This window comes from Homo sapiens, chromosome 5 (assembly GCF_000001405.40).
Source record: "Homo sapiens chromosome 5, GRCh38.p14 Primary Assembly".
Lineage (NCBI taxonomy): Eukaryota > Metazoa > Chordata > Mammalia > Primates > Hominidae > Homo > Homo sapiens.
In genome coordinates, this window is record NC_000005.10 from 116346926 (window position 1) to 116360628 (window position 13703).

General features: G+C 39.5%; 1 annotated feature.

Moving 5' to 3' along the window:
* Positions 12539-12688: an enhancer, noted in NCBI's record as "active region_22945". NCBI's record gives its function as "activates an Ori minimal core promoter by ATAC-STARR-seq in GM12878 lymphoblastoid cells {active_cell/tissue: GM12878}" and the evidence as "EXISTENCE:reporter gene assay evidence [ECO:0000049][PMID:35858748]".

Sequence of the window (13703 nt, forward strand, 5' to 3'; positions counted from 1 at the left end):
TCTGGACTATCTGAAAAGCCAGATGTCAGGGAAGGTAATTTTCAAACTGAAGTTTGATTTGGGGAAGGCTGTAAAATATGTTTAAAGCACTTGATGTTGTGAAATAGTATTCCAGATTACCATAAGTTATTTATTTTGCTAAAATGATGATGACTCGGAAATTTTAAAGAAGCAAAAACTTTTTATAACTCTTTTGAATTTAGTCAATATGTTCACATAGAGATCCTCTTCTGCAAGATTAATTTCCACAATTCCTCCACCACTTTTTGAACTTTCAGCTTTTTCCTAATTTAACTCAAAACAATCCTTTAACCCTAGGCAAAAGTTTACATTTCCATGCCTTCTTAAAACCTTTTACTAAAAAACACGTTTTACTGTTCTTGCACACCTTGCACATAAATCTATTTTCAGTAGTCTCAATTACATGTTATAGTGATAACTCCTATCAATTTTTAACTTTAAGATAAAATTCGGTAAGTTGCTTTAATTGTGTGCTAAGTGCATCCAAGGTTTGCCTTCTTAGTTAAGGGCATGTTTAGTTCCATATGTCCCCAGGCCTAAACAATTGTAAAGCAGACAAGACAGACAGTTCTCAAAACCCAAAAAGCAGTTTGTAACCTTAAAATATTCAGCAAACCTTGCATCTGACCTACATAGTTTAGTTTATCTATTTACATTTTAATGACAACTACATTTTACCAATCGTCTTTAAGGCTGCTTTTATTTCTCAAAGATTAAAGTCACATGAACTGAAAGATTCCACAGCTCTTAACTTCCCTTTAAAAAATGTTAGATCCAAGCACTTGTCTTTCTTTAGGCCAAATTAATTAGAGCTGTTTTTATAGACATCACACACAGTACATACACAGAAAGGCAGAAGAAAACCCAGTCACTGGGTGAGGTCCCCTAGGAGACAGAGCTAGGAAAACATGCAGATATGAACCACAGGGGACTCATCCTCTAAGGCAGTATTGCTAAACAAAGCTTTGCCAAGGGGTTACTGGCCATGCCCCAAGGATGTAAAGCAAGATGGAGTCTTGCAGGACAAGCGATACAGACATGCAAAGCACACCAGAGTGGCCACAGTCCAAGACTAGCTCCACAAATCCTTTTTCATAATTAAAGCTTTATGAAAAATATGAACAGTGATAGTTGGGGGACCTGGTCTAGTAAACGGGGGAAAAAAAACTTTAAAAGTTAACTGCTGACAGGGTGGAGAAGAGGAAAGAAAAAAAAATTTTTTTAATTCCTGGGGAAGAACCTCTTATTCTTATGCAACTGGTTCCTCCACCAGGGAGAAAAGATGAAGCTAAATTACTGTCCAACAGAGTTGAAACACCTTGGCTGGTGAAGGGGAAGGCTGCCTCAGCCTGGCTGGGAACCAGCCTGCAGGCTGTGCAGAACCCTTGGGCCATGCATCCCAGCCCCAGCAGGGAGTGGGGAGTGGTGGGGAGCTGCTACTTACTGGTCCCTCCTGAAAGAGGAAGGAAAAGGCCATGAAAAATCCTGGGAGTGACAGGGTGGGTGGGGACATGGTTTCCCCCACCTCAGAAGTCTGAGTATGAAAAGGCTTAGAAGCAACAGTGAGAGGTTTTGAGTCCCCATTTTACTCACCACTTCTCGAGCCCCACATTGGGTGCCAAAACTGTTGCAGGGCTTTTCCTTAGTTCACCTAAAGAGGGGGTCCTGTTGCATCCCACGACCATGAACATTTAGGCTCACAGATGGTTTGAAGGGTGTGCGAAGTAGGGTTTTATTGGGTGAAAAGGAAGAAAAGGGGAAAACAGGGACTAGGCCAGAGTCCCTGCTAGGGTGCTTCCCGCCCTTATCCCAGGTTCCTCACAGGCTCCTTCCTGCTGCAAATGTCGTGAACTTCCCGAGGCTCCACCTCAGTGGGCAGCCTGGTTGGGGTTTCTCCAGGGACCCCCTCCCACCTGGCTGTCTCAAAATGAAGGAAGGAGAGAATGGAAGAAGGGAAGGAAATAAGGAAGGCAGGAAAAGGTAGGAAAGAAAAAAGAAAGGAAGACAGTATTGTCTTAAAAATTGTGTTGTGGTTTCTAGACTAAAGTTCTTTGACCATACCACAGCTTTTAAATGGACCATGCAAGTCACTTTTAATAGTGTAACAAGCTTAGAAGCTCACACACTCTAAGTAGAAGATTATGTAGGCCTGGAAAAAATGGTAGGTTACTGCCAGTCATGCAGTGTCTTTATTAGAAAATTCATTGATTAGAAAGGAGAGAAGAAGTAAGCAGATTCTGGAGCATAAAAAGGGGAAAGAATAGCAGCTCTGAAATTAGTATCTTAGTCACTCAGGTAAGCACATCCTAATCAGAACATGTGGTTTAGGAGAGATTCTGAGTAATCCTGTATCCTGAAGAATGCTTTCTGTTCTGAAAGGAAGCGTAACCAAAAAGCTTGTCTCCTTGGGACAAACTGATGAAGAGGAAAAAGCAGGGTCAAAGCCAAGGCTTAACAGAGGAAATGCAGCAATTGGGAATCAGACAGCTCATTAGACACTAACAGCTCAATAAGCACCATTTGAAAACAAATGCAAAAAAATGAGAATCCTATTTTTCAATGCTCAAGTATCAGAAAAGGAAAATATTGACAAAACTCGGTGCTAAAAATGATGTCAATAGATAGGCACTTCTATAAACTAATGGAGGGGTTGTGAATTGGTAAACTTTTTTTGGAGGACAGATTAGCAATTGTACCACAATCTATAATTTTAAATGCATATAATGGCAGTTCTCTTTGTAAGAATTTTCTCAGAGGAAATAAATAGGCAAGTACATAAAGATGTATATCAAGAATTTTTAAAAGTTATTTTATATATAATAAAACTGACTAATTTAATTATCCATCAGTAGAGGGCTTAGTTTAATAAATTAAATATATCCAGATAGTGGTATGCTGTCTGACGTAGTTCTTATAAGCATAGATTTTGGAGTCAGTCTGAGTTTAAATCTAGTCCTACCTCTTACTACTTGTATGATTTTGATCACATTATTTATCTTTGCTTAAATTTCCTAGTCTATAAAACACTTTATAAAATCTATAAAGTAGCTTCATAATCTATAAAATCTACTTCACAGAGTTATTACAAAGATTAGATGAGCTAATACACTGAAAATTCATGTACATAGTAAGTACTCAATATGTGTTAGATATGAATACAGTTGAACAACATGGGGGTTGGGGAGCTGACCCCAGTGCAGTCAAAAATCCTTGTATAAGTGTAGACTCTCCCAAAACTTAACTTCCAGTAGCCTACTGTTGACTAGAAGCCTTAACAATAACATAAACATTCGATTAATGCATACTTTGTAAGCTATTGGTATTATATACTGTATTCTTAGAATAAAGTATGCTAGAGAAAAGAAAATGTTATTAGGAAAATCATAAGAAAGAGAAAATGTATTTACTGTTCATTGAGTGGAAGGGATTGTCATAAAAGTCTTCATACTCTTCATCTTCACATCAAGTAGGCTAAGGAGGAGGAAGAGGAGGAGGGATTGGTCTTGCAGTCTCAGGAGTGGCAGATGTGGAAGGTGGAAGGGGAGGCAGGGGAGGCGGGCACACTTGGCATAACTTTACGAAAACACATCTGACTTTTTTTCCTCTAAAAAATGTTTCTATATAGTACCAATCCTTCTACCACTGTTTGCTTTAGTTTCATATCATAAAAGAGTCCATGTCATTAATGTCAAAAGCAGTCCTGAATAATCAGAACCATTCTGCATGATTATCTAACATCAATTTGTTATCGGGCATTGCATCTTCTATGTCTTCTTCCTCATGATTTGTCATTGATTTGGAAACACTCCTGTCCATCAAGTTGTCTTCTGTTAATTCGTCTGGTGTGGTATCTAGTGGCTCTTAAATTTCTCCAAGATTCTTATCTTGAAATCCTTCACCTCCCACATTTTTTTGTTGCCATATGCATAGTCTCTTTTATAATTTCCTTGACTGGCTCTGTTGTAAATTATGTGAAGTCATGTACAATATCTAGACAGTTTTCTCCAGCAGGAGTTTTTTATTTCTGCTCAATGGTATTCATGGCTTTTTCTAAAATGATGGCATCTTCAATTGAATTATGCCATTGAAGATAATTCCTTTAAATTTTCATGATGTTGTTTCTATCAGGGTTCTCTTTCATAGTGTTGATAATCTTTTTCATAGAGTACTGTGTTTAATGAGCCTTAAAGGTCCTTATGACCTTCTGATCTTGAGACTGCATTAGAGATGTCGTGTTTGGGGGTAGGTAGACCACTTTGATGCCTTAAGTGTTGACCTCATGGTGTTCTGGGTGGGCAGGGGCATGTGTAATAAAAGGCAGTCTCTTACTGGGCAAGGTACTGCGTGACTTCAGAGACAAAGCACCAATGGGACCAGTTCAGAAAAAAATAGTTCTTGTTGTCCAGGCCTTCTTATTGTACAGCCTTAAAACTGGAAGCCTGTGTTTATCTTTTCCATCAAGGCTAAGGAATTGGCAGATTTATAGGTGAGGACAATCCTGATCATAAACCTGGCTACGTTTTCACATGATAGTAGAGTTAGCCTATCCCTTCCTGCCTTAAATCCTGGTGCTCACTTCTCTTCCTTACTATAATAATAAATTTTCTTTGTGGCATTTTTTTCCAGGATAGGGCACTTTCATCTACTAAAATCATCTATTAAAAACCTTTTCGGGCAGTATCTTTTCTCCTCAGTGATTTTCTTAATGATGTGTGGGAACTCATCTGCTCCTTCTTGATCAGCAAAAGCTGCTTCTCCTGTTATCTTGACATTTTTAAATCCAAACCTTTTTCTAAAATTATTAAACCGTCCTTTGCTGACATAGAGTTCTCCAGCTTTAGATTCTTCACCGTTTGTGTAAAGTTTTCATACGATGACTTTGCTTTCTCTCAAATCATATTACAGCCTATAGGCATGTCTTTGTGTTTTCTTTCTCTTTTTTTAGGGACCCAGGCTGGAGTGCAGTGGCGTGATCATGGCTCACTGCAGCCTCAACCTCCTGAATTCAAGCAATGCTTCCACCTCAGTCTCCCAAGTAGCTGGGACTACAGGGCGTGCCTTTCTTAGAGCAGTCCTGGTGCCACTAAAAGCTGCATTTTCAATATGAGATAAAAATGTATTTTACAAAAAGTGCAAGGTCTTCATGTCTGCTGGCATTGCTGCAACAGTGGCTTGTGTGAGAGATCACTTTTTACGGCAATACCCAATTTATTGGAGAGACAAACTGCTCAAGCAAGGATGATTAGCATTCTATGGCATTTCAAAAGGATACTTGCAATGCTTGACCTTACCACAATAGCAACAGGAGGTAGCTACAAAATTATTACAATAGTAGAGTATGGTACCACAGTTAATTTTATGTAGTTATAATTTAATACTGCATCTTTATGTTTGTTCACATTTCTCTGGACTGTGAATGGCACTATGCATGGTCTGTGTTTGTGCAGATTTTGATTAATGTTAACTTTTTGTAATAGATTTGTATATATCTTATGGTAGTAAATAAATGATAAAGTAGAGTATTATATACATATATTTTATGAATTCATGACATACCTTTTTCTTAATTTTTTCGGTGTCTGTAGGCTACACGGTTCATCTGTGAGTTTTCAGATTGTTGCAAATCTTCCACAAAATTTCTAATACAGCTTTTGAAAAAAATCCATCTATAAGTGGACCCCTGCAGTTCAAACTCATGTTGACCAAGGGTCAACTGCATTATTATGCAAACATTATAAGTTACAATATCTAAGTTAACGTGGAAAATAAACATGTTGAGCAAAAGTTACAGGCTAGCTAATAATACAGGTTTCCATTTATATAGAAAAATTTGTGTGTGATTGCTTGTGTAGAAAGGGTTCTGAAAATATTTTTACTAAAATGTTAATACTGGATATCTCTGATGGTAGGATTTTGGAAGATTTTTCTTTTCTTTTTTTCTCATTTTCTAGTATAATATTTTTTACTAACATATAATAACTCCTAAAATGGCAAGCTAGGACATTTAGAGCAACTTTTCTGCTGAAGAAAACTAAAATTCTGATGCAATATGAAAATAACAATCTTGAAGCACTAAAGAGGCAACTAGATAGTGTGTGCGCCCCACCCTAAAGTAGGTGGTTTGACGGAATGGTGAAATGGCCTTTTGAAGACTACAGCAGCAGCTAGGTAGCAGTGCCTTGCAGGGTTGAGGCAAGGTTTTCCAGAAAGCTGTATGTGTTCTGAATCCAGCAATACAAGGTATTGTTTCTCCCACAGTCAGGATTGCTGAATCAAAGGGTGAAAATGAGAGTGGCACCACTTACTCCTATGCCCGCCCAGTAACCTCTACTTGGAAAAATTGTTCTTTCTGTTCCCATGACTTTATGCTCTCCAGGCTTAGAGGTCTTAGTTCCAAAGGAGGAAATACTTCCACAAGGAAATACAGCAGTAATTCCACTGAACTGGAAGTTAAGACTGCCACTCAGACACTTTAGACTCCTCATGCATCTGAATGAACAGAAAAGATGTCAATTACTGTGCTGGCTGAGGTGATTAATCCTGACTACAAAGGAGAAATTGGACTGCTATTCTACCATGCAGATAAGGAAAAGTATATGTGGAATATGGCAGATCCCTTAGGGCATCTTAGTATTACCATGCCCTGTGATTAAAATCAATGGAAAACTACAACCCAATCTAAGCAGGACCACTAATAGCCCAGACCTTTCAGGAATAAAAGTTTGGGTCACACCACTGGGTAAAGAACCACAGCCAGCCAGGGTGCTTGCTGAAAGCAAAGGGAATACAGAGTGGGTGGTAGAAAGTAATTATAAATATCAGCTATAATTACATGACCAGTTACAGAAATGAAGACTATAATTGTCAAGCGTATTTTCTCATTTTGTTAGAATATGTGTGTGTATCTCTTTGTTTTCTTTCTTCTCTCATTCCCTTATCATGTAACATAAGATATGTTGACTTTATATCATAGTATTTAGTATTGCTAATTTTATATGAGAGTATTTAAGTTGTGAATATCAAGGAGAAAAGTAAATATCACTCAAGAACTTTACCTTTTCTTCTAGGGCAGAGGCTAGTGCATTTTTGGTTGTATGCAGGATAGTTGTATCACATTAGGTGGAATTTTGACCTTATTATTGTCTTTATTTGAAGACTAAGTATGGCTTCAGGAGATATGTATGAGTGCCAAGTTGACAATGGATGCACTCGTGATGATTAATTTTATGTGTCAACTTGATGGCCATAAGATGCCAAGTAGCTGGCTAAACATTATTTCTGAGTGTGTCTGTGAGGGTGTTTCTGGAAGAAATTAGCATTTGAATTGGCAAACTGAGTAAAGCAGATGACCTTTCCAATGTGGGTGGCCATCAAACAATCCAAAAGGGCCTAAATAAAACAGAAAGGTAGAAGAAGGTTGAATTAATTCTGCCTGATTGACTGAGCTGGGAAACGGATCTTTTCCTGTCCTTGGTGCTCCTGGTTCTCAGGCCTTCAGACCTAGATAGGAATCTACACTATTGATTCTGAGGTTTTTTAACTACACTGCTGGCTTCCCTGGGTCTCCAGCTTGCATATACACACACACACACATATATATACACACACACACACACACACACACACACACACACACACACACACACGTTCAGACACAATGACCAGCATGCAGCAGATAACCAGATAGACAAGGAAATAAGACACCTTGAGCAATAACCAGCTCAAAGACATGATAATATAAATAAATTTAAAATACTGGAATTGTCAAACACAGACTGTAAAACTTCTAAGCCATAGAATCAACCTGATCTGCAGAAAACAGGAAGTAATAAAAAGTGATATAGCAGATATTTAAAAGAAACAGAATGTCTAGAACTAAAAATGATATAACTTAAATTAAGAATTAAATAATGGGTTAACTAGTACAGTAGACCCAACTGAAGAGAGGATTAGTATATTGGAAAATAGATCCAAAGAAATTATCTAAAACAGCACAGAAAAATGAAAAAATATAAAAAAGAAAAATTAGAGAGGATAAGAGACACATGTGGTAGAATAAGAAAACCTAAAATAGGTTTAAGATGAATCTCAGAAGGAGAATCAAGTAAAAATGGGGCAGAGGCAAATTTAAAGAGATAATTGCTAACAATTTCTGTAACGAAACCCGCAGATTTAAGGAGTGTATCACATGTCAAATGGTATATTTTTTAAAAATCCACCCCATCAAAATGAAGCTACAAAAAAAAAATCAAAGAGCAAATATTTTAAAACATGTAGAGAGAAAGATGCAAATTGTCGTCAAAGGCACTACAATTACACAGACAGTTGACTTTTCAACAGCCACATAGATGATTAGTGAGCAGTAGAAGAACATGGAGTCAAGTGTTAAAAAAAATCTACTGACCTAGAATTCTATACCAAACTAAGATATTCTTCAAGAATACAGAAGAAATGAGAACAAACATGAAATTTAAAACCAAAGCAAAAAAGTGGAGAGATGTTTATCACTGGCAGGCTTACATGAAAGAAAATTCTAAAGGATATAATTTAGACAGAAAGATAGTAATCCCAGATGGGAAGTCTAACATGTAAGAAGGACTAAAGAACAAACACAGTGAAAAATATGTAGGTAAACCTAAATGAACTATGATTGTATACAAAATAAGAGTATCTTATAAAGTGTTTACAATACAAATTGTGTGTATATGCACATACACACATATATAATGAATAACTGGAGATTTAACAGCATTCTTCTCTTGAGTCTTAGGTGAATTTGGTAAGAATGCCACCTATCAGTGTAAGAAGAAGCAGCTCAGGAAAGTTGTCTGAAAGACTCCTTGAGCCACAGCAGTCTTAAGCAGTTACGTATTTGGAGAGAAATACCATATTGTGGTCAAGTAAAGAATAGTGGACATCAAGGGGTGTTTTGTTTTGTTTTTCCTGTACTCACCTTCCTTTAATCTTGGAATAACACCTTCCTTGTCCTTGGGGAAACTCGTTCCCCATTCCTATGTTTTTATTGATGCTGTCAATCATAAATCCCAGTAGTCATGGGGATGGGCATATAGTCTAAGCCAAGTCAATCAGCATTTTTCCCTAGGATTTTTTTTTCAATTGGTGCTATAAAATGACATAAATCCCCCCCTGCTGAAAGCATATGAGTCAAGGGAGTGGCTGATAGTCAGTTTCCAACCAAGTGAAGGAAGCTGATCTTAGAAAATGAACTGGACAACAGAGAGGAGTAAAGAGGGAATCGCAAGAAGAGAAACTTGGTAGCATTCAACTCCTTTGTTCCATTAGCTCTGAGGGTTAGTTCCTTCTCTTACGAAATATTTACCTTTTTACCGAAGCAAGTTCAAGTCATAATTGTTCTGTGAAACACAAAGCGAGGCAAGCAGTGCTGATGGCTGTGCTTAAGGATAAGTTTAAGGTATTAGAACTAAACCACAGAAACAGATCAGAGACCAGGAGAATGGAGGCAGATGACTCACTTAATTGGGATGGATCAAAGCAATTGAACAACTGCTTAGAATTGGCTAGAGGCCCATTTCTGAGTTTTTTTGTGTCTTTTTTCGCTATCTGCATTTTATGGGGACAGAAGAAACATACTGAAGAAGCCTTTGGATGTTGCACAGAACTCTTTTAAAAACTTTTATTTTAGGTTCAGTGGATATTTGCAGATTTGTTATATAGGTAAATTCATGTCACCGGGGTTTGGTGCACACATTAGAACTCTTGATATTAAAGTCATAGGTAATCTGTGGACAGTTATGGAGAACCAAGAGACCTGGATTTAAAAGTAGAAGGGTTTTCAGATGCTACATGGATAAACATAAACAAGTTAAAAACAGTTTACAATAGTCAGAAAGCATTTATTTGTACCTATTAATTATTAGTTTTTAAATTTTGCTAGATAGCCATGTTAACTCACTGCTTAGGGATTAAAATTAGTACTAATTTATGCTATAGTAGTTACAAAGAGTTAGATATGTTTTGAAAATTTTGCACTACTTGGGATCAATATCAATCCCAGGCATAAATACCCAGGAATGGAGCCAAAGGAAGGAGAGACAGGGCTTAGCTATGTTCTTTATTCTTGTACCTCACATCTACTCTATCTGCCTGGGTCAAAAGCTCCCACCAGGGCCACTGGTTCCAGATAGATCCAACTTCCTCACAGCAACATATTATGAGAATGATGAGCAAATTCAGAAGCCAGGTATATTTTCCTGGCTTGATGCCTTAGACTTCCTTCCTGGGGAAATGACCCATTAACCATGTCACTAGATCAGACCTGCAAACCTCCAACCTCCAATATACCTCTTTGGAAGCCCAAATTTAACCCAGGTGCTCCATGGCTTAATCTCTGTGTCCTCTCACACACCACTCATCGCAGTTCTTTTTTTGAAGTAAAGGTTCCATAAGTGTTTGGGGTCAGTATAATGTATTGAGAATTTAGTTTGCATGTGTTCCTTTGTACTTTTTTCCTTGCCCTTGTTAGCAGGGATCTAGGGTCTTATCATTTCTGTGCCACAGAAGCTTTTGCAAGGCAGAAAGCAAAAGCTATGGAAGATAAAAGGCTGTCCTTTGCAAAAGTCTAAGGTAATTAAAGAATACTAAAGGCCTGTATTGATTTCCAAGGGCTGCTCTAAGAAATTGCCCATAAACCTGGTGGCTTAAAACAACACAAATTTATTATTTCATAGCTCTGGAGTGCAGAAGTCCAAAATTAAGGTATCAGCAGGATTGATTTGTTCTGGAGCCTCTGAGAAAGCATCTGTTTCATGCCTCTCTCCCAGCTCCTGGTGGCTGTTGGCAACTTTAGGCATTCCTTGGCTCTGTCTTCACGTGGCTTTCCACACTGGGTCTCTGTGCTTTCTTTGATAAGGACACTTGTCATTGGATTTGGGATCCACCCTAATCCAAGACGATCTCATATTGAGATCCTTACCTTAGTTCCATCTGAAAAAAAATATTATTCCAAATAAAGTCACATTTTGAGGGTCCAAGTGGACATACTTTCAGGGGAATACCATTGAACCACTATAGAGCCTAAGTGGTCGATGAGTGAGAAGAAGGAGAGATTTTTCTCTTGACTAAATTATTTTGGAGCTATGGGGAGGGAGAGAGTAAAACCACATTACCATTTTGTAGCCATATCCCAAGGAGGAGATGAAATTTGGAGGGGAAGGCAGCATGGTACACCTACACATAAGCAGGCTGAGCCCAAGGCCCTGCCTCCTCAGCCCCCAGCCTGACAGTGAATCTGTCACTCAGTGAAGAGCCATCAGACTTCAAGGGATTGCTGTGGGTTTGGCCATAAGAGATGAGAGGCAACCTGGATGTCCAGGCAATTGGAGACTCTTGCTCACTATCTTCTGAGCAAGATAAGCCTCCCCAGATTCCTGTGCAGCCTAGGAAGGGAGGGGCCCCAACAGCAACTGGACTGAATCTCTCACCAGACACTTGAACTGGCAGCTCAGAGTTGGACTTCTAAGTTTGAAGAAAATAAAGCTAAATTTTCCAGACTGAGATTCACTGTTGCTCTGTTAAACAAAATCCCCAAATACAAGCTCCATGGACTGATTGTAGTTGGCCTGGTTTTCCCAGGTTTCAGCCATGTGGCTCCTCCTCCTGCTACTATCCTTGTTAGTCCTGAGGTCCCCTGGTTAGCTCTGGGGAAGAGAACAGAGCAGATGCTGGGACACACTGGTGGGTTGTGGTGGTATCAGATCTATGGACAGAGGCCACCAGCCAAGACCACCTCCAGGGACTGAGCCTCCAAAAGAACACTGGGATACCTTCCTTTCTAGTTGTAATCCACCCACCACTTTTCATCTGGAATCATTTCTATAGGTAGGAAAAATAAAAGATGGGCCTTGTTGGTGAAATGCAAGGGGAGCCAAGCTCAGGTATCATGCAAGGCTATGCAATAGGAAAAGTGCAGAGCTGGGTGATCATTTCCACTATGTGGATGCAGTACAGTTGATGTGTACTTTGGGCTAGTTTGGTTTTTTAAATAGAACATTTCCCCTGCTAATAAGCTAGAGAGCTCAGTTCCTCTTTTTGTAAGTGGGTGTGGATGACGTAGTTCTATTGACACTTTGCTATGTTTTTTTCCAACTGTAGCTCTTTTATCTTCTCACACCTTTCAGCTACAGATTTATTCCTCATATTCACTCCTCTCTCTCCTACCTCCCTATTTCTATAGGTGTTTATGTCCTTTCAGTGAGCCCAGCACAACAGCTGCTGCCACTTATTGAGTGCTGACTGTGTGCCAGATGTGTTCAACACCATACATGTGCATATTTCTCTTAATCTTCCTTGCAACTTTAAGTGTATTATGTGTATTATCTCCAGTTTACAAATGAGGAAATAAGCCCAGAGAGGTTCAGTAACTTGCTCAAGATTGCACAGCTCATAAGAGGTGGAACTGGAATTTGAGGTTATATCTGTCTGATATAAGGCCAAGCTTGCAGCACTGCTTCTTGGCACTGTGCTGTTCTGTGAGATAAGAGGCAATTCTTGCAATTCTCACTTTAGTGTCTGTAATGTTGGTGGAGGGTGAATGAGTATTGCATCTCAGCTGCTGCTCGCAGGTAGTGGCAGGACCAAACCACCCAGGGCTCTGGGTGTTTGCTGTTGGCAGAAGCTTCTCCTGGTCTGCCTGATGCTCCAAGTAGGCAGGCCATTAGGGAGCCCCCCAAGGTGATGGCTGTTATTTTCAGCTGAGGGATCCGAGCAGAACCCCCAAAGAAAGAGTTATTTCAAACTGGGCCTTTGTTCCTTCCTCTTCCAGTGATTGCAATTCTGGGCCCCAGCTGGAGGTCTAGATTGCAAGATCAGGAAGGAGCTGGGCCAATTTTCTGGTTGCTTCTTTGCACTAAGCTCTTGTGTTTTCACAGCAGCCACAGGCCCTACATCCTTCCTGGAGACCCCAGGGTGGAACACAAGCAAATTCATCTCTTTTCACTTCCCCACCCCCTTGCATGGTGACTCTTGATTTGCTATGCTCAGAGCCTGTCATTGCTGGGTAGGGGCTTGCATATGGCCCCCATTTGAAATGAATGGTTTTTGAGGGGCTCCTGGAAATGTGTTGCAGGTGAGCTCCTGGACACTTGGCTTGCCTGCTGCTTCAGCTCTGTTTGCTTTGACTAATTGTGTTTTCTCTGCCAATTTGTCTGAGTAAAGTTTTTCTATCCCACTTTGTCCGACGTCTACATGGTACATCTGGTACCCATTTGGCTGAGATGGGGGCAGGAGCAGGGTGGTTAATTGAATGCTTGGCACAGGGCTGCAAGAAGAAAACTGAGAAGAAAGGCAAGAACTGGGAGAAGAGCTTAGAGAATGCTCTAATGCTTGGAGCCTTTGCAAAGTCCTGAAACTCTACAATCTCTTTTCCTCCACTTGGTTTCTGTTTAGAAACAGAGCCTTAAAAAGGGCAAGAGAAGGACTTTGATGAGATTCTGAAACTAGATTGCAACTACTGTTTTAGTATAAACCCCGCAGTGCCCCATCTTTCTCCCACAGGGCCCATGGCTTCTCGGTAGGTGGCTAGGGTATCACTAAGCCCTGTTTGTGGAAGGGGAGAAAGAAAGAGCTGGGAAAGATCACCTGTCTATGTCTATTTTTGTACGCATCTAATTTGGAGCCTCTCGTTCTGCAGTGGGAATTTTGGC